General features: G+C 33.1%; 1 protein-coding gene across 4 annotated transcripts in view; it reads right to left on the minus strand.

Moving 5' to 3' along the window:
• The window catches only part of FSTL5 (follistatin like 5), a 780,104-nt gene that overhangs the window by 60,295 nt on the left and 696,319 nt on the right, over positions 1-23,490 (minus strand). For all 4 annotated transcript variants that reach the window (NM_001128428.3, NM_001128427.3, XM_011532126.1 and 1 more), the window contains 2 exons: positions 15,021-15,128; positions 10,813-10,937 (listed from right to left, as the gene is read on the minus strand). In NM_001128428.3, coding sequence (NP_001121900.1) covers positions 10,813-10,937; positions 15,021-15,128 — 233 coding nt within the window. The remainder of the gene's footprint in view (positions 1-10,812; positions 10,938-15,020; positions 15,129-23,490) is intronic.

The raw sequence follows: 23,490 nt of genomic DNA on the forward strand, positions 1-23,490 counted from the left end.
GTTGAGAGGCAAGGGGCCTCAGCTTAGGGCTGTGTCTGTGAGACTGGGGAGGAACAGATTAATGAACAGACTTTATGAAGTTGGACATGAGCAGACAGCAAAAATTACTGTAGGGTCTGCAGGGACTACTGACACAACACTATATTTTTTCTCTCTCCCTTCTGAAATCATTTACCTTTGGAAGAGGAAAATCAAACTGATCTAAGAGATATTAAATACTTTGTTGAAGGTCTCAAAGGAGCTGGAAATCTAGTTTCCAGGCTAGGTCTGTGTGGTCTCAAATTCTCACTTCTGCTTGTATCTCATACAAATGAAAAATAATGAAAATTCAAAATGCCAAGAGGACTTCAATTAGGGAAATTTCAACAAATTTTATGAACAGTGGCTTTAAGGTAGACTTTGAAGGATTTATTAATATTGGGGAGAGGAAAAACAAAGTTTTCTGCAAGTAAATACAGATAGGCACAAAAATATGGTGTAGATCTGTTATGAGGAGTTGAGTTTTGTTGTAGTAATAGCATGTAAATGGGATAAAAGGGAGTGTTGCAAAGGTTGGCTTGGGATAACTTGTAGAGCACATCAGTCGTTAGGTTTTACCCCAAGAATGAGGAAATAACTTGAATTCTAGAATGTATTGAGTGGTAAGTCTAAATTTGGACTGAACTGAGTTTATAGCTGGTTCCAATACATATGAAATGATTCACCATTTGTAGAATGGGAATAAAAATTTATGTTGCTGCTAGTTTTAAATGAGACAGAGCATAAAAATTGCTTAGCTCAGTATCTGGCATAGAGTAAGTACTCAATGTTTGTTAATCACTATTAACATATATAATAACCTTAGCAATAAGTACAAAATCTACAATTGAGCAATACAATCTGAAAGCATGGAAGTGGTATGGTAAACTTAAACTTGATTTGTAAATTCAGACTTTAAAATCGATATTAAAGTAAGGAAATTATAGAGAAACGCTTTCAATGAGTATTGTGCATAGGACAAAAGGAAAGTTAGAGATTATTACTGAAACTCTATGTTGGACCATACGAATAAATGGTAGTATAGAGCCTCTACTTTTAGTCAGTTTCTCATATATCTAGTTCACTTTTCTTTAAAATTGTCATTCATTTACTTCTTACTAAAATTCGTATTCTTGACTTATAAAATCACTGTTTACCATAATAAAAAAGTTAATCTTTCAATTATTTACATTATAGACTTAAAATAAAAAATGAATTTTTTAATCTTTTACTTGCATATAGTTAGAAAACTTGTTTCCCTAATGAATTTGAAATTTTAACAATGACTTTATTAATAAGAATAAATATTGTTTATTCTCCTTCTGTAAACCAAATATTACGATAGTCCAAAAATGGTTTTCAAGTATTTTAAAATATTAAAAGATGTTAAAACAGATTAATTTCAAATTTATCTGTTAAAATTGATCTGTTAGTGGTAAAAGTATCAAAAGGATTATCAATACGTCATTTTCATCCATGACAGATGACAATTTAGATATAATACAGTTTCTCCACATATCTACTAATTTGCTGGATTTCCTTGTTATGGTTCATTTTAAAGGCTCAATGTCATCCTTTTCATGTGCTTCAGTTTTGTTTGAACCATATCTTAAAGAACTCTAAAACCTGACATTTTACTGCATTATTTCTTGTTCAAAACGAAAAGCAAGAAATAAAACATTGTACTAGAAAAAGTAAATGTGAAAGAGTAATCATAGCTGAATTAAATAACATAAAAATGTAATTTAATTTAAATGAAAAGAGTAATGTGATTATCTGAATATTATCTGTTTGACTCAAAATAACTGGTAATTTCTTTATTGTACATGGATAGCTACAGTGAAGATATATCAGCAGATTTACAACTCAACTAAAAAGATACAAAATATTAACTCGGTTGGATTCACAATGAATATTTTTTACAGCCTCTGATCATTGTGAAGATAGAGCATATCAGTGCCACCACTGATGCCCACCCAAAACTGCCTGCACAGCCACCATCACTAATTTTACATTTAAATTAATCTTGCTTTTATGGTCAAACAAAATAAAAAAGTGATGTGTATATAAAATAAGCATTTAGCCACATTCACAGAAAATTTCCAAAATGTTTTACCATTATTTTATGTATGTATTCTCAAAGATAAAATTATTTATTTAATGGTATTGCTTTGTTAAGCCACAGTAGAATGCTTTCAGAGTTTCTGTTAAGTTATATACTCCTGTATTTGAAGTTTTATCATTTTAATAACAGTTGCATCAAGAAAAATTTCATAAATTCATAAAGTAAGATGCTATAATAAAATATATAATGTGCCCTTTTCCTTTGACAGAAAAATAATATATCCACTTAATGATACAAAGAATTAAAAACCTCAATGTACATTATCTTTTTCTTCACCAAAATTTTATGAGAACTAGCTAATGCTATATATGATTGATTCAAAATATTGCAGTCTACTGTATTAAATATATGTATTAATAGGCCATGCAATGTACACTTTCAATTCATGTAAGAAAATGCTTAAATTCTCACAGTGAGCTCTGCCCCTCTCTTGTGGTGTATTCATTACATCGTATCTTAACTTCTGACATATTTCTTCATGCATTTTAATTCATATTTGGGAGTGTTTTTACTAATGAGGAAACGGAGTAATCTCTGCAACCACATAATTGACTTGTTTAGGGTAAAGTAAGTGTGATTTACCATTATCAGCAAACCCAGAATCATATGTAAGACAGAAAAAAAAGTACCTATATATGCATATATATTCGCTTATATTTGTATACCATAGCTGTCTCTTAAGAGAATACTGGATCCTGTGAGATGGACAATCCTGTTTTACTGAACACTTTGATGAGTTAGCATAAGGACCTCTGAGAGAAGAAGCAAGAGCTATTTTACTTTGCATAATAAAACTCAAGAGTCAAATCTGCAATGTGGAGTGTTTCTAAATTATGTGTTATTAGTGCTCCATTGATTTCTTCAGTAAAAATTTGTTGTAGAATGAGTCTGTTTAGTGTCTTTATTAAATTACAGAGCTTAGAGTCTACCAATAATACCTATAAAAACTCTTCCTTTTTAAAATAATTACATATATATATATTAAAAATAACTTGTTCTTTAAATCAAATCGCATTGACCCATACATCAAGAACATTACATAGCAAATGTGGGCTAGCAACATGACTAATAAGACATTCTGTGAAAAGAGGTGCAGGTCTATTTTGTTCTTCCACTTTGGACACAAGACTCCTTTCTTACAAGTGTCAGAGCAGAGCACAGTTAACACAGAACAAAGACCAAGAAGGGAAGCAGACAGGGTTCTCTAACTCAAGAAATAATAAAGGTAACACACTGAATAGCACTCTGTTTTTTCTATCTAAGCATTTTACACTCAACGTGTGGCCTGTATTAATATGCTAAAGAAGATTGAAAGTATTGCTTAAAATAAAAGCCAATCAGGTAACCATAATGAAAAAAAGAGAGTGGCATTATAGATCAAAGCTTGACAGTTATAGTGTGTTTACTTCATTAGAAATAAGATTAAGAAAGTTATCCAGTGTTTATGTTACGTAGATGAAGCTTTGCACCCATGTAAGAATGCTGGGTGGTTTGCTAACAATGGTTTGCACATATATACACACAGGCATATATAAAAGTATACGTATATACTTTGTTTGACAAACAATTTATGAATATCTTCTGTTTTCAGATAGTGAAGTAGCTCTGGGAATCTAACGATCCCATGAGATAATAGGTTCTGAAAATACAGAGTTTGTGTTTGTTTGGAGTGGAGAGGGGGAGTAAAAAAGGTAAAGAAACTGTGGAAAGGGAAGGTCACAATTTCAGAACTTATGCGTATTTCAATATTCACTTTTTGAGAGAGTGTAGACAGAGTTGGCTTCCTGGGATATTTGGAATTCTTTGTTAGTTTATTTCTCTTTGTGGGAGGAATTAGCATGTGAGGATGAAAGGAGTTAAAACGCACCTCACTGAATTGTGACTTTTGTGAGATTTTCATCTACAAAACATTTTTTGAAACAATTTTAATTGCAGTTCATCATCCCAAGATTTTACTTTTCTCTAAATGCCATGGAACAGCAGGTATTTTCAATTTCTGCTGTGCTGGGATTTCAACGTAACCACAGCATTTTAGTGCTAAAATTGTATCTCCATACACCTGGCCTGTCCATGAATCAAGTCATAAGATGAGTTGTCTTGATATATGGTTAGCCATATATATAATTTTTGCTTTAACGGATTTGATAAAATATGGGGGAGAATGATATACTTTCACTTTCACAGAATGTTTATTTTTCCCTTGGAGGAGTTTTAAGGAAACATATATCAAACTCAATCCCTTCTTAATCATTTCCTTGCTGAATTTATGCCAAAATGAGTGCTATAGACCACTCTCCAGACTGCCGGAGCGGTGTCCGCTACTTACTCTCTCATTTTACTTCATCCGTGTAGTAGAGCCATAGCCATTGGCTATGCAGGGATTACTGCTGATCGGAAACAAGATAAATCCTTAGCCCCTTACTACCCCCATTTGGCTCCAAGTACTCTTACACTCTTAGCACTTATTTCACTGTTGAGGATCCTAAAGGAGTGCCTTCCAGCTACCCTTGTCCTTTCCAGTCCATTCAAATTGAAGAGTAACACTGAGGTCCACTTCATTGAATTCCTGATTTACCCTAGGGTATTCAAGTCCAAACCAGTACCATCTTGGGGTGTGGTGCTGGGGAGGGTAGGCATGTTATAACAAAACCTTTTGAACACTAGTTGTTTGTTTACTTGTTTCATTTAGCAGGTCAAGCCATGCCAAATGAAGCAAGCTAACAGAGGAGGAAAAAGCTGTGGGAACTGGCATTTTCAGGATTTTATATAAATGCCTGTTGCTTAAAGTCTCCCTGTCAGTGTGATTTAGAAATATCTCTATTCATCTTACTGCTTATCATGTAATCACTGACTGAAATAAATACACTTGCATGCACACATACACACACACCCTCCCAAGTACAAACATTCATTTTAAGACACTACATAATCAACCAATGAACCCCTAGACAAAAATGGCAATAATAAGTATATCAATTTCCTAACTGCTGCATTTTCCTCTCAAGAAATAAGAGCAATTTAAAGATTGATTTCTATAAAAATATAACTCAAAAAATGAGAAAAGTGGTTTGAAATTCCAAACAATATAATCAAATGGTAGTTTGGGTTGGGGGGGATAGTTTCAAGAGTAGGTAAGCCTTTCAAGACATCTCAAATAGCATCACCCAAGTTTATGCCTTCTCTTATTACTCACAGGCCTAGCCCTGGAGTGGCTATATAAATCATAAGTCATCTCCTTGAATTTACTCTAAGTGCCCTGTATGCCAATTGACATCAGCATGTTTCAGCTAGATTGGATTAAATCTGTTTGTAGTTGAACTCTAACTGGGAGAGATAGGAGAAGAAATGGGAAAGGAATGATTTGCAGGTGCTACAAAGTGCAGGTTATACATAATACATCTTTTTTTTTTCATCAAATGGCACTTGTTTTAAATTGTATCAAAGGTATTATTTTAGTCAGTGAGAACCTTAAAGGATTTCTACTTATAACACCAAATAACCCAAATGTTAGCTGTTCCCTTGCAATCTAGGTGAAGATATCTTGCTGTTATTCTCTTGCCAACACATCTTATTCGTGCTACGTCAAAAGCTCTAGGAAAGACTTCTGCTAATTCTTGCATTTGTGGTAGATTACACTTTGTGGCCTTCCTGGTATCCTGCACTCAGATTTCTTACATTTCCCTGCTCTGCACCACGTTGGTCTCCGTGTAGTTCTCACTTTCATCCCCCTTCTGCCCCAAACAAATAATTCTCAGGAAGGATTAATGAAGATTTTTTGAGGGAGGTTTCATGGAAAAATTTCATGGAAATTACTCATTGCTTAATGTCTGCTACCTCCTTAGCTTCTCCTCTTCTTTTCTCAATTCTCCTTACCTTTCTAGAATCTTTACATATAAAAGAAAATATAACATGTAACTGCCAGACCTATTGATCTTAATTTATTATGCAAATTCTAGTTGCACCTGCACAGCAAGCTGCAATGTTCACACATAAGAAACTGATATTTAAATTTTTCTCTCTTCACAATGGCAGCAAAAATAAAACAATTGATTATGTAAATCCTCATGCTTTATGAGAATTACTTGTTTTGAAGTTTAACACAAGCATTTCGAAAACTGTTTCACCAAATCTCCTATGCATTAGCCATGTAATTTTTAAAAAGTTAACAATAGTAGAATTACAATATTATTCAAATATTCAAGTATATCTATTTACATGTAATGATATTGTAATTTCAATTTAATATAACAACTGAGTTGTATAACTTATTTTTTTGGATACAAATTACACATAGAATAATGAAGCGTTGCTTTATATTTGTTTATAATTGATTTTAGAAGGTAATGTATTATCATTTCAAATTTTATTAGACATAATTGACTATTACGAGAATTACATTCATCTTCATTTTTTTTTTTTTTTTTTTGAGACAGAGTCTCACTCTGTTGCCCAGACTAGAGTGCAGTGGCACGATCTCGGCTTACTGCAAGATCCACCCTCCCAGGTTCATGGCATTCTCCTGCCTCTGCCTCCTGAGTAGCTGGGACTACAGGCGCCCACCACCACGCCTGGCTAATTTTTATGCATTTTCAGTAGAGACGAGGTTTCACCGTGTTAGCCAGGATGGTCTCGATCTCCTGACCTCGTGATCTGCCCGCCTCGGCCTCCCAAAGTGCTGGGATTACAGGCATGAGCCACTGAGCCCGGCCCATTCATCTTCATTTTTAACAGCCACTTTTAATTTTACCTATCTGTATATTTTTATTTATAAAAATAAAAATCTAAATTGAAATTCATCCTATAACAAATTTATATTTCTTATGTCATTCCAAAATATACTCCTTTTGCACTCCATAATCTCTTCAACTTTAAAACTAAAATTATGGTTTCCATAATTTATTAATTTCTTGCTTAAGTTTAAATTTTTTAAAGAAAAATTTTTACTAACTTCAAGTCTGAGAATGTGTCTTAAATGGTATTCTTAAATTCTTCAGTCATGATTTACTTTATGACACTGCATGCTTATCTGATATGCTTAAAGACTAAAGAAGCCTGAAAATTACAGGCACAGAAACAGAAAAACTGGAGGAAAAATGAGAGGAAGCCAGGCAGGGAAAAGTACAGACTTTTAGGAAAATTGCAAATAATCAACAGGGAGCCAGTTTCCCAGTAGAGATTACGAAGTCTGGACAACAACTAGTGAGCAACTGAATACTCAAACATTATTTTATTCCAGTCCTTAGAAAGAAATGAAGTAAGTTGGTTAAGGTCACCAGAGTCAATGGTGAATGATGTTGCTGGGATATTCAGGCTTAGATCTGTCTGACAGCAGATGTAAATTCTTATTACTGTAGTTACTGGTTCCACAAATTTGTGTACTCTGAACACAGCATTTGCTTAATGCTGATAATGTGTTGGAGGCTGAGAAATCCATATATAGGAAACACAGTTCTTCCCTCAGTACCAGCTAGTCTGGTTTAGGAAATAGTGTAGCACTTTCTTCCTTCTTTACTTCCATTCCTATGAGAAACATAAATTAAGTGTCCAGTGGTTTTTAGGCACTAAGAATATAAAAGCCTGACACGTGTCAAGAAGCTTTTCAGACACTGAAGATATAAATTATTTGAAATAAGTGTACCAGCATGAGAGAAAAGCAGATTAATGTGATGTAGAGTCAGAGAAAGAAAACTAATATTAATTCAACACATGTTTCAGACCCTCTGCCTGGCATGGAAAACTTCTATTGAGCCCAACAGTTAGAATGTAGTGTCAAATTCTGAAAAACACAATTCATAACGATTCAATCTCAGCAGCACATATTTAACTACATGCTGAATTTGCTTAGAAATATACTATATGGGCCAGGTACGGTGGCTCACACCTGTCATCCCAGGACTTTGGGAGGCCAAGGTGGGTGGATCACCTGAGGTCAGGAGTTCAAGACCAGCCTGACCAAGATGGTGAAACTCCGTCTCTACTAAAAATACAAAAATTAGCTGGATATGGTGGAGGACTCCTGTAATCCCAGCTGCTAGGGAGGCTGAGACAGGAGAATTGCTTGAATCCGGGAGGTGGAGGTTGCTGTGAGCTGAGATCGTGCCAATGTACTCCAGCCTGGGTGACAGAGGGAGACTCTGTCTCAAAAAAAAAAAAGAAATATACTATATGAAATTGATAGGAGAAAAGACCATATTCATTGCTCAGGTGTTCCTGATGTGGAATAAATCCTCATTATGTTAAAACTACCTTACATAGTTAACAGTTTATTTTTGGAAACGCATGTTAATTTTTACTTCTCGCATTCACGGTAGTAAAATGAGTAATTACTTTGAACTGCACCAAGAAATTTGATGATCATTCATGTTCATTAAAATGGGATTCTACATGCAGGTAGAATTGCTATAATTTAATTTTTATTCTTACTAAATTACTCTTACTAAATTAAATACGTATAAATAAAGTAGTGACAAAATACCCATGCATTTCACTGCACATTCCTCAAAGGAATAAAATGATGCTTAAAAATATCCTCAGTTATACTTTTTACTCTTTTTCATAATATATAGAACTAAAATAAATGTGTGCCTTATAGTTGTTCACAATAGTTAGATGTTTTTCAAATTAGTATTAGCTCCAACTCCAGCTCTGAGGTAATCATTTAGAACCCAAAGAGATGCTGTGGTCTGACAACATATAAATTATATCTACAAACACAGAATTACAAATAGCACTTACTGCATGCCACCAAAGTCTATACTCTTGACCCCGGTAGGTATTTTAACATAATGATAACTTTACATATTATAGGGTGAAACCACTCCCAACTATACACAATTATACCTAGTAGTGTCATACACACTAAAATTTTTCTCAAAGAAATTGTATTAATAGTACATTTTTAAAAAATAAGCAAGGTTGATAATAGCATATTAAATACAGTAATAGGGAATAGGCAAGTGAGATAAAAACAAAGGTTACATATCTAATTATTGGTTATTAATACTTTGTCAATAACTTGAAAATAACAAAAGAATATTTATTAGTCATAACACCAATTGCCAATTACATTAAATTTTATCCTCATTAAATATGTATAAGAACTTCATATATTTTTCAGACAGCATCTTAAGTGGTACCATTTCAGTTCAACTCTGATTTTTAAGTCCCTGAGCTATTACAATCAGAACCTAAAAAACTGTTAATTTCATCAGATATTCTGTAGTTTCAATAATTTGTTTTCCACAAAATGTGTAATAATAATAATTACTATTATTATTTTTTGACAGGGTCTGGCTCTGTTGCCGAGGCTGGAGCACAAGGTGTGACCTCAGCTCACTGCAACCTCCACCTCTCAGGATCAAGCAATCCTCCCGCCTCATCCTCACGAGCAGCTGGGACTACAGACATGCACCACCATGTCGGCTAATTTTTGTAATTTTAATAGAGACAGGGTTTTGCCATGTTGCCCAGGCTGGTTTCGAACTCCTGTACTCAAGCTACACCTCTGCCTTAGCCTCCCACAATGCTGGGATTACATGGGAGAGCTACCATGCCCAGCCTGCACATTATGTTATTTAATCACTTTTTTGCTGAGCACATAATAGGCATTCTGAAAATAATGGCTAATTGATTGACAAATATATCAAACTTTGAAAATATGCTTGGCTTTGCAAGGAATAATTTATTCTATCTTTGACTATGAGTTATAATTCTGATTTATTAATCCCCGTTTTTATTTTTGCAAAGTTGAATTATGCAGTCTTTCATAATTCTCACAACTGCAATTTTTAGATGATATAATTTTTAATTTAAATAAGGAAACAAATACGCACAATAATCCAATAATGGCTCATATAACATAGCTGGAGCAGTTTCCACACATCAGAATTCACTTGAGTAAAAGGACAAAATCTTTGTTTCAGATTCATTTTTAACATTGCTAAGCAAATATTTTTAAATTGTTTCAACAGATTTTAAAGATACATAATACTAAATATCATGATATCCCAACCTTCTCCTCATTTTAGCATTTAAACCTCTTCTATAAAGCTTTGCAGTTTTATAACTAGAAGTTAATATTACTTTTCCGCCTCTTGTAAATACATCAAGAGATAAAACACACTAACATCTTTTCTCAAAGTGCAGACCTGAAACATTTCATTTCAACTTCTTGTATTTCCTAATACAATTTTATATTAATTACAATATGATCAAAAAATGATGAGAGTGAACAAAATATTTACATTGAATATATTTCTATGACTGTGGCTGCTTCTCCATACCAAGTTTCAGTTAACATTCTCTCCATTTGAGAAGTGATTTTATCTTTTAAATTAGTTATCTTTGGGGGAAATGCCAGCATTTTGTAAGAGCCCAGTAAGAAAAATCTTAATGACAATTTGCAAAAACATCGTTAAAGTGATTTTTAAAAATAAAACTGTATTTTCACAAATTCACACCTCTGTTAGGCATAAAGAGAAACATTTTATGGGAAATTCATCACTAGTGTTGATAAACAAAGGTTCAGTAAGCAGATATGACAAAGCTAAAGCAAGTTCAATTGTACATGTGTATTTGTTTCATATCTAAGTTTCTTTACGATTTCACATGGCTTTCTATTATAATAGAGACAAATCTTTAAAAAGTTGATCACTCAACTTAGCACTTACCTCATATGGGTGATAATGAGTGTTGTGGTGGGAATGAAAAAATCATCCACTCTGTCAAATTGCTTTCCCACTGGTTGGGTGTGGATCGTGTGGTGAGGCACATTCCCACTGGCCAGGGTAATTACCTAAAGAGAACACACCTTGGTTAGACCTCAACAATGCAGTCACTTCATAGTATAAGCTTTAATTTTATTTAGAGATGAAATAAATGTTTCTGGCAGTTGTTTGCATAGACTTTATGCCATCCTCAAAATCAATATATTATTACACAAATTACAATTCTGTGACTGTTTTGCTTATTTTCAATATAGAAACTTGTTTCTATAAAGAAAAAAATAGAAAAATATTTGCCTTGAACAATTTCAGCTTAAAATATAAAATAAATAGGCATGTAAGCAACTTCTTCATTACAAAAATCCTAATCTTCTTACAAAGAGAAAAATAAATGCAAACATACAAGTAATGTGTGATATTAGGACAAAATCCCTCCAGTATAACATAACTGGCAACATAGTTTTAAAAACTCCAAATAAATCATATGAAACATTTTAAATTTTTAAAATCTTGGAATACATAAAACCATATTTTAAAACGTTTTCCTCCTATCATTGAAAAATAACCGGTTTACGTGTTTTAATAAAAGAGATTTCATCTTTAATAATGAATTGTTTTTTAAACTTTTATAGTCCTTTAAAGAAAAGGTCAACTACATTTAAACTAGTTTATTTCCCTAATTCCATTAGTTACCAAATCCTGTTAGTTCTTTCTTCAGATCTGTTTACACCCCTGTAAACTTTCATTGTTCCTACTGCACAACCATTGTTCTGGTAGCCTTCTAAAGGGCCTTTTTCCTGCCTTTACTTTATCCACTTTTAAATACTTTCTACATATGGCCATCAAAGTAACTTCCTAAACTACTGACTAAGTTAAAGTAATTCTCCCTCAAGACTAAAACTTCTCCTTTGGTTTTTATGACAAGATTTTATTTTATAATTTTTAGTTTTAGAGTTAGTTTGTTTTTCCTAAAGGGTAATTTTTCTTCATCTAAATGAATATACTTTCATTGAGTTCCATCGGAATCCCTCCTGGCTGGGGCCCACTTCCTGAACAATAGCAAAATGGAAGGCTTCTATTTCAAGTTATTTCCTGGGAATATTTTATTCTCTAATTATTGTGCATTTGATAAGACATTAATTATATTCCAATTGTGAAATTTGTGGATTACAGATTCATTATAATTTTTAAGGCAGTATTTTGAAATTTTTGTAAGACACATATGACTTTTAAAAGTAAAATAAATAAATTATGATAAATCCTTGAGAATCCACCTGAGGACACTAATTGGAAAATATTGTCATATATCTAAAATTATGACACCTAGTCTCTATTAATTATAAATATCTCAGAAAATACATATTTTGCTTTCGTATTTGACGAAGACGTATGGATAAAATTATAATAAAAATTAAAACACAAAGAAAAAGATAAGTAGAATTTTCTGATCCTTGAGAACATGCTTCAGCATCGATTTCTCTTCCAGCTTAATCTTTTAACATGATGGCATGGGAAACACTATAGCCACAATGAGGGCTTGCCCATATTTTTGGTTTTGTGAATTCAGTTTCTCCAAAGGAAGCATATCTTAACTTCCACTTCCTTTGTGAATGTTTCCTGATAATCTTTTGGGAGACAATTATCCATGAACATTTTGACATTTCTGCAGAGTCAGGTCTTTCATAGCAAAGAGCATTGGCAAACTTGGTTTAAGTCTAATGGCATAGCAAAAATGCCTTGGAGACTAGTGATAGTGGCTTGCTCATGAGAGATTTAGAGAATTATCTCCTTTGAACCATTTACTGACATTCAAGGGAATTGACCTACTCTTCTTCTTCCAGGGGAAGATTTTCATACATTCTAGAGTAATGATGATTATCTCTCCAGACAGAGGATAGGCTGATATGCTAGCAGCCTAAAAAAACGTAGAGACTTATAATTCTAGGGTCCCACTTCTTTCGTGCAACTGTGCTGAACATTCAGGGTAGCATTAGGCTCTCCACGTGACCCAAAGTTGATTATGGCTGAGGCATAAACACTAACATGATCCATGAGTGAGAAATGGCCTATTCTCTGATCCAGAGATCTTGTGTTTCCTATCATATTGTTTGCCAATCAATGAATCAATCAATCTACCTATCTAATCAAGCTTATATCTATATTCATATAACATACACACATATAAACCTTATGTAAATAAATCTTCTTGTGTATACCTTTTTAAAGGATACTTCTCAATTCCTACACTTTATTTTATATTTTCACTTGTGACATTTACCTTCCACTCCCACCTGGCAAATATTTTTATAATTTACCATATTCTATCAGCACAAAATATGTTTTATTAGGCATCCAGAGAAAAATAAAGAACCCATTTTTAGATGGTTGAATAATGTGTGGGAAGAATACCTCCAGAAGGCTGTTTTCTGTGTACAATGTCAAAGGAATTTGTCTAAACTATTTTGTGGTGGAATTGCAACGCTGGGAAAGTTGTTAATCTATCCAAGTAGCATGAATCAAAGGGGAGAGGAAGGGATCAATTCTGAAGAAAATTGTATAATAAAAATATATGCAGCTTTAGTTTTTTAAAAAAAAAGACATGAAAAAATTAAACTTTTATGTTATACTAATCTTAAAGTTAATAGAGTATTAAAATAATTTATAAGAATATTTTCTAAAAAATCATATATATATTGACCTGTTTTATTTATCTTGCAAAGAGTATACTTAAATACAAAATCTCAATTAACAAGCACCTATTACCATATTGTGATAGATGATTCTAAAAGTTGCCCACTGTGAAGATTGTGCTTTTTCAATCAAGAGATTGGCTCTATCACTCCATCCTCTTGAATCTGGGCAGGCAATGTGACTTGCTTCGATGAATATGATGTAGCAAAATTGGCTTTATATGCATTTTGAAGCCCATACCTCAGCTGGTCTTGTAGCTTCCACTTTTGTAACATAAGACCATTATGCTGTGAAGATGCAGTGTGAGCGTCACATGCAGGGGACACAAGGCACCCAGCTGAGCACCATCACCATGCGACAGACATGAGGGTGAGGCCATTCTGAACCTTCCAACTCTAGCCAAGTTATCAGGTAACTGGAGCCCATGAGTGCTCCCAGATCACATCAGCAGAGCTGCCCAGGTAGCCAACTCACAGAATTCTGAGTCATCCTTTAATTTTAAGACCTCACATTCTGAGAGTGGATTGATTTGCAAAATAAATAACCAAAATACTATAATATTTTTTCAATGTTTCAAATGACACATATTTCTAGTGAATATAAAATGATCCATCATTATGCTAGCTATATTAAAATATTCTATTTACATAAAACTGTCATTTGTAAGTTAAATATTGCAATACTGAAAATAACTCAGAAACATTAAAAGTCTTGGTAGTGACAACTGATTAAAATAAAATTATTTCATTTAAAAGAATTTATTTTAAAATGTCCAAAAGTTAATAATTTGGGGTCTTGTTAAGAGGGGGATATTCAAGGCAGTAGCAAAATCGCAAAGCATTTTGAAAAATACTGTAATATAAAGCACATTTCCAGGGCCAAAAACTCCTTCCCATTTTCTTTCTGTTTCTGCTTAAACTTGTAAGGCTAAGGACTGCTCCAAAGGGTCATGACCAAAATGCAGATTTTCTTTTTCTGTATCTGTGAAGTTCTCACATAAACAACTTCAAGGCAGAGGCAAAATCCATAAGAATAACACCACTATTCTTCCTTTAGAAATAAGCCTCTCCTCAGATAACAGAATATTATCTGATTAGAGAAAAATGGAGAAGGCCTTGAAGCTTTTGCTGTCGAATTCTCTTTGTCTCTATTGTACTTGCCTTACCAAAATTGTTAAAAAGTAAATTATGACTTTCTTTTCCTCCTAATGGCATCAGCTTTGTCACTATAGGTTATTCTTTTCGCATATAAATATAACCTTTAATACACATTATCTATGATTTTTCCCAGTCCAAAAGTACATGAATGCCAACTTTTTTGCCTTTTTCTGTGCCTATCTAGTTATGATTAAAGCTGTAGTCCTCAGATGGAAAAATATCATGGTTAAATGATCACAAATATCCAATAAAATGTTGAAAGCTTTAAAGATTGTTATTTTCTCTAATATACTGAAATGTACTTACCTGTAGTGTTGGTGATGTCTTCTCCAAGGTACCCCAGCTTAGCACCCAGACCTGATCATGTGATTTGTCATAGTGTAATTTAACTGGGACAGGGTCTGTGCTCACTGCCTACAATAAAGAAGAATTGAAAAAAATGTTTTAGACTAAACTATTAGTTTAAAGCTAGGCCAGAAATTATGAAGATTCTAATTTAGATGTCAGATTAAAAATTTAATTTGCCAAATATATAATTTCCTTAGCCCTTATTTGATATTTGAAAATATCATACTTTACTCATGTATATTCATATACATGAATAAAGTATTATCTTTCTAAATTTTTTATCATATACAATTATGATCACAATTATCATATACATGATAAATATTTTGTTTATCATTTGCACAACTGTACACAGCTTTCAGTTCATTCATTACCTATGCACATTGTGAGGTGGGGAGAAGCTATTTAGAAACTCAAGATATAAAAGATTAATATATTCATTTTAATTAAGTGTTGAATACAGGTGAGAACTATGTTTACACTATTAGATTTATTTTATCCCAATTCTGATTACAAGATTTCACTATCTGTAATGTTAAAATGCCAACAATCTGATATATGGCTGTAATTCTAACGAATGATCAGCTAGTTAAGTTTCCTTAATGAGAAATTCAAAACCACAGAAGAAAAAAGAATTCTTTTTTTATGCACCATGCTTGGTATGAAAATGTGTTTTTTTTGCTAATATTTATAATAATATGTATAATATTTATAATATTTAGCATTTACTTAAAACAAAATTCTCAGAAAACAAAGTGATGCCAGGAAGTTATTTCACTCACCTTAATTTTATGCTATTCATATTACAAGCTAACACCACTTAAAATTAATTTCCAGGAGTAGGTACTTATATATTTTCTAACTATGTAGCATAAAACAAATTGTATCCAGTAAAGTAAACTTTATCCAACAGTGAAAGCATTTCTTCCCAAAGCTCTATTAAATATCCTTAGAGAATTTTCTTTTTTTTCTTTTTTCTTTTCTTTTTTATTATTATTATTATACTTTAAGCTCTAGGGTACATACGCACAACGTGCAGGTTTGTCACATATGTATACATGTGCCATGTTGGTGTGCTGCACCCGTTAACTTGTCATTTACATTAGGTGTATCTCCTAATGCTATCCCTCCCCCCTCCCCCCACCTCACAACAGGCCCGGGTGTGTGATGTTCCCCACCCCGTGTCCAAGTGTTCTCATTGTTCAATTCCCACCTATGAGTGAGGGATGAAGCTAGAAACCATCATCCTTAGAGAATTTTCTAAGTACTTATCCATAATGCAATGTTCTTCTCAGCACATTAGTAACAGGTAAACTATTGTTGTGGTTGGAAATATGGAAATGCATGTTTTAAATTAAATGTTAACAAGTCTCACTAAGGCATCTCTTTTCGAAAATAATGCCCTTCATTTTGCCTATTTAACATTCTCAGTATTCTTGGATTACTGGAATAATTATTGGATTTCGAAAGAAACTCACTTAACCATTTTTTATATTAGTGTCTTTACCCCTTTTTTCCTCGCTAAGAGAGTCACTATACTGTTTTGGGATCAGATGTGCAGCAATATCCTCAGGGAAGGTAGCTCACTTGGCAAGCACCACAGATCCAAGGAAATGACTGATTCTATTTCCTTTTGACTGATATTGAGTTTCCCAGCCTCTTCAGAGGCTTAAGAGTGGTCACATTGCATACTCTGTATGTATTGCATACTCTGTATGTATTGTAGTTTCTGTATTGTAAAGATTAGTATGATGCATGATTTCTGAGAATAATACTCCATTCCATCAACAGAGATAACAGAAGGCTTCCTTCCACCACATGTTCTCTTATTTCCAGTTTCCAGTGCTGTCCTATGAGGATATTAAGCCTCTAGTTTCCAAAGTCATTTTGAGGCCATGAAGCTATTAGGTTAAGAGGAAAAGGCCGGGTGCGGTGGCTCACGCCTGTAGTCCCAGCACTTCAGGAGGCTGAGGCAGGCGGATCAGGAGGTCAGGAGATAGATACCACGGCGAAACCCCGTCTCTACTAAAAATACAAAAAAAACAAACAAACAAAAAAATTAGCCAGGAGCTGTGGCGGGCGCCTGTAGTCCCAGCTGCTCGGGAGGCTGAGGCAGGAGAATGGCATGAACCTGGGAGGCGGTCTTGCAGTGAGCAGAGATCACGCCATTGCACTCCAGCCTGGGTGACAGAGCAAGACTCCGTCTCAAAAAAAAAAAAAAAAAAAAAAAAAAAAAAGAGGAAAACCCAATACTTTGAGGGTGCAGAGGAGAAAAATAAAAGGAAACTGAATTCTTTATAACCTTGAGTTGCTACACAAACATAGAACAGCTATTCCCAGACTTGATGTTATTTAGGTAATTAAATAGCTTTATTGCTTAAGGAATAGTTAATCTGGATTCTGTTAATTGTGTTAGAATGCCAGATGTTTCATTTAAATTTTTTCATGTACTAATCAATAATTTCAGTGCATATATAGCCCTAAAAAGTCATCATTAATCAATACACTAATGACAAAGCCATAAGATTCCTTTGATTTTTCATATTTTCCCTTTCTATGTTAAACTTAATCTATGTGTGAATGTAATAGCCTATTTTGCATGCAGCTTTAAATGGAATAATCTTTAGATCTTTAAAATGTTAAAGATAAGATAGCTCAACACAAATGAAAAAAGAAACAGTAAAAAAAAAAATCTCATTGTTATTTAATTGTAAGACTATATCAAAGGTCTGTAAGTAATGGTAAGGATCTGGGAACAATTTGAATGAAAATTTCCAGTTTGCCAGCTCTCACAAATTGCTTTTCTTTTCACCAGGCCTTTCATAAGTATTATCTTATAGAGACATACTACAAAGCATAGGTTAGGCTAACACCTACATTTAATGGGATAAGGAAACTGAGAATCAGTCTTGTTGGAGGTCCTCCAGCCAATAACAAGGACATCTGGGATCTGATAGTCTGTGTTCCTTTCCAATGTGGGAACCTCTCTGCATATGAAAGACACTCCCTCTTAGTTGATTGTTTATTCCTGGGAATGTGTGGATATGTTGCTCTCTTATTTATGCCTCATGTATAAAAAACATTGCTTTGGGTCTTTTTCCTCTATTGGAGGTTAACAAGAAAACCAACGGGCTCAAATACATGCCGTCATCTCTGCAAGCAATAAAATCCTAATGGAGAATCACTGAAAGTCAGTATAGATCATGTTTATGAGCATTTATTCTGAAGCCAATTTCAAACTTTAACTCTTTCACTTACATTAAAATAATAATGACAACAACAATAATAATAGTACCTTGGGAAGTTACTAAATTTTTCTGTGGCTCAGTTTTTTTCTACAATAAAATGGAGACTGTAATAATACCTACTTCAAAGGGTTATTGTGAGTATTAGGTGAGATAGTAAAGTACTTAGCGTGTGCCTGGTGAATATTAAGTACCATGGAAATACCACTCATACTACTACTACTACTACCATTAGAAACAGTAATTGAGCTAGATGTTTTAGTGACTGTTAGCATCATAATGTTTCAAGGTTAGATGTGCAATATCTTTAGTAAGTGAAAGAAATGAGACCTAGAAGAGAAAATAAACCCGTTTCTGTCCTTGAAGAATTTACAGACTAGAGGGTGAAAAGAGCACTTAAAATAACTTGATGTGTGTCACAAAAAAAATAAAAAAATAAGGACCACGCACTACAAAAGCTCAGAGGAAGAAGTACAATGCAGGATAAAATATAAGGAAAAGAGGTAAGGCTTTCATTGAGCCTTAAAGAACGAATATTTTTATGAATGGAAAGAGAATATTTTTAAAAGTTAACTTATGGAAATATTTTACAGGAAGTGTCAGAAAGCAGTTCATGATGAACTGCCTTCAAATAAATTAGGATATACCTATTTGGAGGAAAAAAATATCAGCCAATTTTCAAAATAATTTCCGACTTTGAAAAATGTCTGCTCAACGATTTCCAAAAGTTTTGAACATTTTGTTTCAGCTTTTCAAAAGCTTTGCACTAAATTCAGTTATTTTGCTGTCTGGTTATAAAAGTTCACCAGAACTGAAAAAGATATGCAGATCAAAATAAAAAAAGTAATATAACATACTTTATTTGGAAAAATTGTAATTTTCAAGAAAATTTATTTATAAGTTTTCATGTATAAAATAACACATTTTATACAAGAAACATTTATATGATTTTCATCAACAGAATCATATATTAATGATAAAAATATTTCCAAATGACTATCTTCAGGATAATACTTCCATGACCCAATTTTCAGTCAGAAAAGCCAGTATGTTACTATTAATACCATCAACTTTGGCAAGGGAATAAATAACACACTGGATTTTACAAAATACCTGCTCGTATGCTCTTGAAATGGACTTTAAAGAATCAGTAAATTTAGAACAATTGGTTTTTATAGAACAGAAGGGCAATATTTTTGACACTTACAAAATTTTGTTTTTGCCACAGACAACTTCTGAACTTCTTTGTCACAAGTGTTGAAATGGTTCTCCACATGTTATGCAAAGGATTACAAAGAGTCTGTCATCCTTGACTGCCGTCTTCCTCCCATACTTCACATCCTCAGGAAATGCAATTGAATCTACCTTCTAAATGATGATCCCTTTGCAATATCTCTACTATCCCCATGAACACAGTCACCATTATCATTATCACATGGTGTCTAACTTCTTACCTTATACTCATCAGTCTTTCTCATAAATTTGTCTGAGTGATTTTTTTTTTCATTCTTTAAGCATCAGGCAAGTCATGACAGTAATCAGCTCCAAACTGTCAGTTTTTGGAATAGACAAATTGTGTGTTGGGTTTTACAAAATACCGGCTAGGATACTCTTGAAATTTACAGCCTCTTCTAATTTCTTTTAGAGTGAAAGCCAAAAGTCATTATAATGACCACCTGGCCTTACCTGAACTGACACCTCCCCAGTCTTCTCTAGCCTTGTCGCCGACTACACTTTCCTTGATGTCTCTGATACAGAATCTCCTGGCCTCCTTTGCTGTTCATCCAATATGTCAGCCATGCTTCTGCCTTTTGGAGGGTCTTTCCTTGAAAAGTTCTTCCATAGAATCCCAATGCCTGCTTCCTCAACATCTTTGCTCATAATTCACTTTCTCAGCACGGCCAGCTTGATCACCCTATTTAATAATCAAACCCTCCTTCCCTGTGTGCATACCTCTTCTCCTCAGCTTTCCCAAGCCCTCCTGTCCTTGCTCCGCAGTTTTACATTTTCCAAAAGCACTTACCTCCTTATATATGGCATAGTTTGTATTTTAGTATATTTATTTCTTATTGTCTGCCTCATCTAATAGATTCTATGCTCCCAGAAGTTAAGCTTTTTGTGTTTGTTTAGGTCAATGAAATAAACCATGCACTTAGAATAATACTTAGTGAAATAGTATTCTCAATTTATAATTAATAAACTTCTTAGTCTACTTAATTGTAAAACGTAAGTTGCAAAATTTTGTAGCATGGCAACTAATTATTATTATTAAGATCATGATCATTATTGTTATTATTTATTTTCTTAAAAAATTTCTCCTCTGATGTTGAAATTGAGATTATTATTTTATTTAACAAAAATAATTGTACTCCTGCACCAGGCTTATACAACCTGGCTCTTTTAATGAGGTATTTTACAGACACCTTATTTGTACGAGACACAAATTTCAAAAATTTAATTTTCATAACAATCTTTTTGTTGAAGTATGCACTATTGTCATCTCTTTTATAGGGATAAAAGTAAACAGAAGACTAAGAGTACTATTGTTGATGCCTTCATATTGTAAAATTCCCACTTTCTTCTCAAGACACTAGAGTTCACTATATGTTACCTGACCATCCAATATACAGATAAATTCAGGCCTTCAATATTGGTCCTTATAGTAGCTTTTTATTAAATAAAATAAGATTTTTTTAAGATTAAAAAATTGTGAACAGATGTCATAGGATTCTCTTCCTGTAACTAGTCACCTGTAAGTTCTTTGGGTTTCATGTGCTCCACTTTGGAGACCATTGGTGTGCACATTTTTTGTTTATGCAGTCACCACTTAATTTAGGAAAAATGACATGAAGTAAATGCATTATTCAGGAATATATAATTACAAAAAAGCATTAGTTATGTGCTCATATTTTATTTCAAAATTAACCTATATAATGCTCATTTATTGCTTACTGTAATTTACATTAAAAAAATAAAGATGGGATCTTCCTAGTTGCCCAGGCTGGCCTCCAACTCTGGTCACAAGCAATCCTCCCACCTCAGTTTCCCAAGCAGCTACAGACAAGTGCCACCACAACCGGCAGTATAATTTACACTTGACTACCCAAATTTATTTTGCTAGAAAAGTTGTTTTCAAACTGTCTTGAGAAGCCTATGGAAATGAGACTTACTTGTAGCTGGCAATTTGAACCCCCATCATAATAGAACAAAGGGGATCAGTTTGCATCTATTGAATTATTCTGTAAGATTTTATTTAAGTGATAGCTTCCAATTATATATTGGAAATTTCTCTCCTACATAATAATCATTAAAAGAAAAGTTGTTCACACTGTAGCCTTTGCTTAGCCTGGTGATATTGAGATTATTAATTTACAATCCCTCTTCTGCAGTTTTATTGAATTATTAAACACTTTCAAAAAAGTTTCGAATAATAATTTTAAAATTGTACTCAATTAATAGTAGTGATTTATACATTGAAGTTCTAGAATCTACATTTCTTAGTTTCTCAGACAAGCACTGTTTTCAGTGTTATATTGTCATGATGAATGAACTTTTTACCCTATTGCTTTGTATGTTAACATAAAATATATAGTGAAATAATAAAAAAGTGATTTGTTGTAGCTTTATACACATATTGATAAAAGCAATTTTTCTTTAACATTTTAAAACATTGTTGAAGGATACTCAATTTACTTACATTATGAGATTTTTTATTTCTTTTGTTGCTATCTAAACTCCCTCACAATCCCAACATACACAGTATTAAAAAATTCATCAATATTTCTTGAGGGGGTGCATATACAACAAAGTTAAAACACATGATACCCTAGTCATGGACAAGTTGTATCAACTTCTAAATTTGAAATACTGATAATAGCAGCAAAGATACACAGAACTTGCGGTTTGGTCTTGACATGAAGGAACAGTGAAGCACAGCTTGTTTATCAGTCTGACAAGGAAAGTACCAGCTGGCTAATTAAGTGAACCTAATTTAAAATAATGATGCAGTTCTCAAGATAATACGCTAATGGCTGGAGGAGACTGCTGATAATACTTAAGAGTACTCCCGGGGTGTTACAATAAGCCCCTTCTGCATCCAAGCAGAACTTGATCGTACTCCATAGACCATAAAATGAGGTCAGTTGTTTACCAGCTAATCTTTTATACTACACAACATCACCTGTATGACATTCTTACAAAAACTTTGATGGTGAGAAAAGCAATAATTGAAACAATTTGACATTTAAAGGAACACCAAGTTTATAGATTCCATTAAAAAAATGTGACCTTTACTTTTTAGCTGCAGATAAAAATGATACTGATGTATTTGCTGAAAACAAATACACCAATGATCTCCTAATGCTAATAATTTATTATAGTTTTTAAAATATTATATTGTCATAAAATATTTCTCATTTTAATAATAATATGTAATATTCAGTTTAAATTTTAAAAAATGTTTAGTTCCAAAATACACATTTAATACCAGTCCACACAGTCAAAAACATGCAAAAATCAGAAATATCAGTTCATGGATGAGGACAGCATGAAATACTAGGGGATCAGTTGGACTGGACTGAAAAAGAAAACTTCAAAGTTTACATTTCAATAACTGTAACATTATTTTCTTTATTGTTATTTTTTTCAAGAAGGCATTTTGATTTTTGGACTTCACTGCCTCATTTCTATATCCATACTATGTATAATGTATACCACTTTTTATAATGTTTGGGAAATAATTAACTAAATTTTGATTACAATTAGTATTCTTAGTTGCCTCTGTATAATATACTCAGATTAGAAAAAATAGGTAAATAAAAGCACATCATACAGTAAGGAAGTAAAACATCATTTGGATACAAAAAAGTCTAACTTTGAATCTAGGCTTAGTTGACAAAAGTGGTCAAATTGAGAATTGATGCTTTACTTTTTACAAAATTAACTTTGTACTTTGCAGTTCACTATAAATGTAAATGTGTGATGTCTTTATACACTTAGGTTACTAGGATGATCAATTTATAAAACAGAAGTCAATATCTTTGTCTGTAAAACTGACCATTTTACATGTTGTTTTAAATTCGGGAAAAACCTCAAGAGGATTTAAAATTCTAAAAGATGAATGATTTTCAAGTATAAAAATGGAGTCATTAGCTTATTCATAATTCAACTTTAAGCATGTACTC

Source organism: Homo sapiens, chromosome 4 (assembly GCF_000001405.40).
Source record: "Homo sapiens chromosome 4, GRCh38.p14 Primary Assembly".
NCBI lineage: Eukaryota > Metazoa > Chordata > Mammalia > Primates > Hominidae > Homo > Homo sapiens.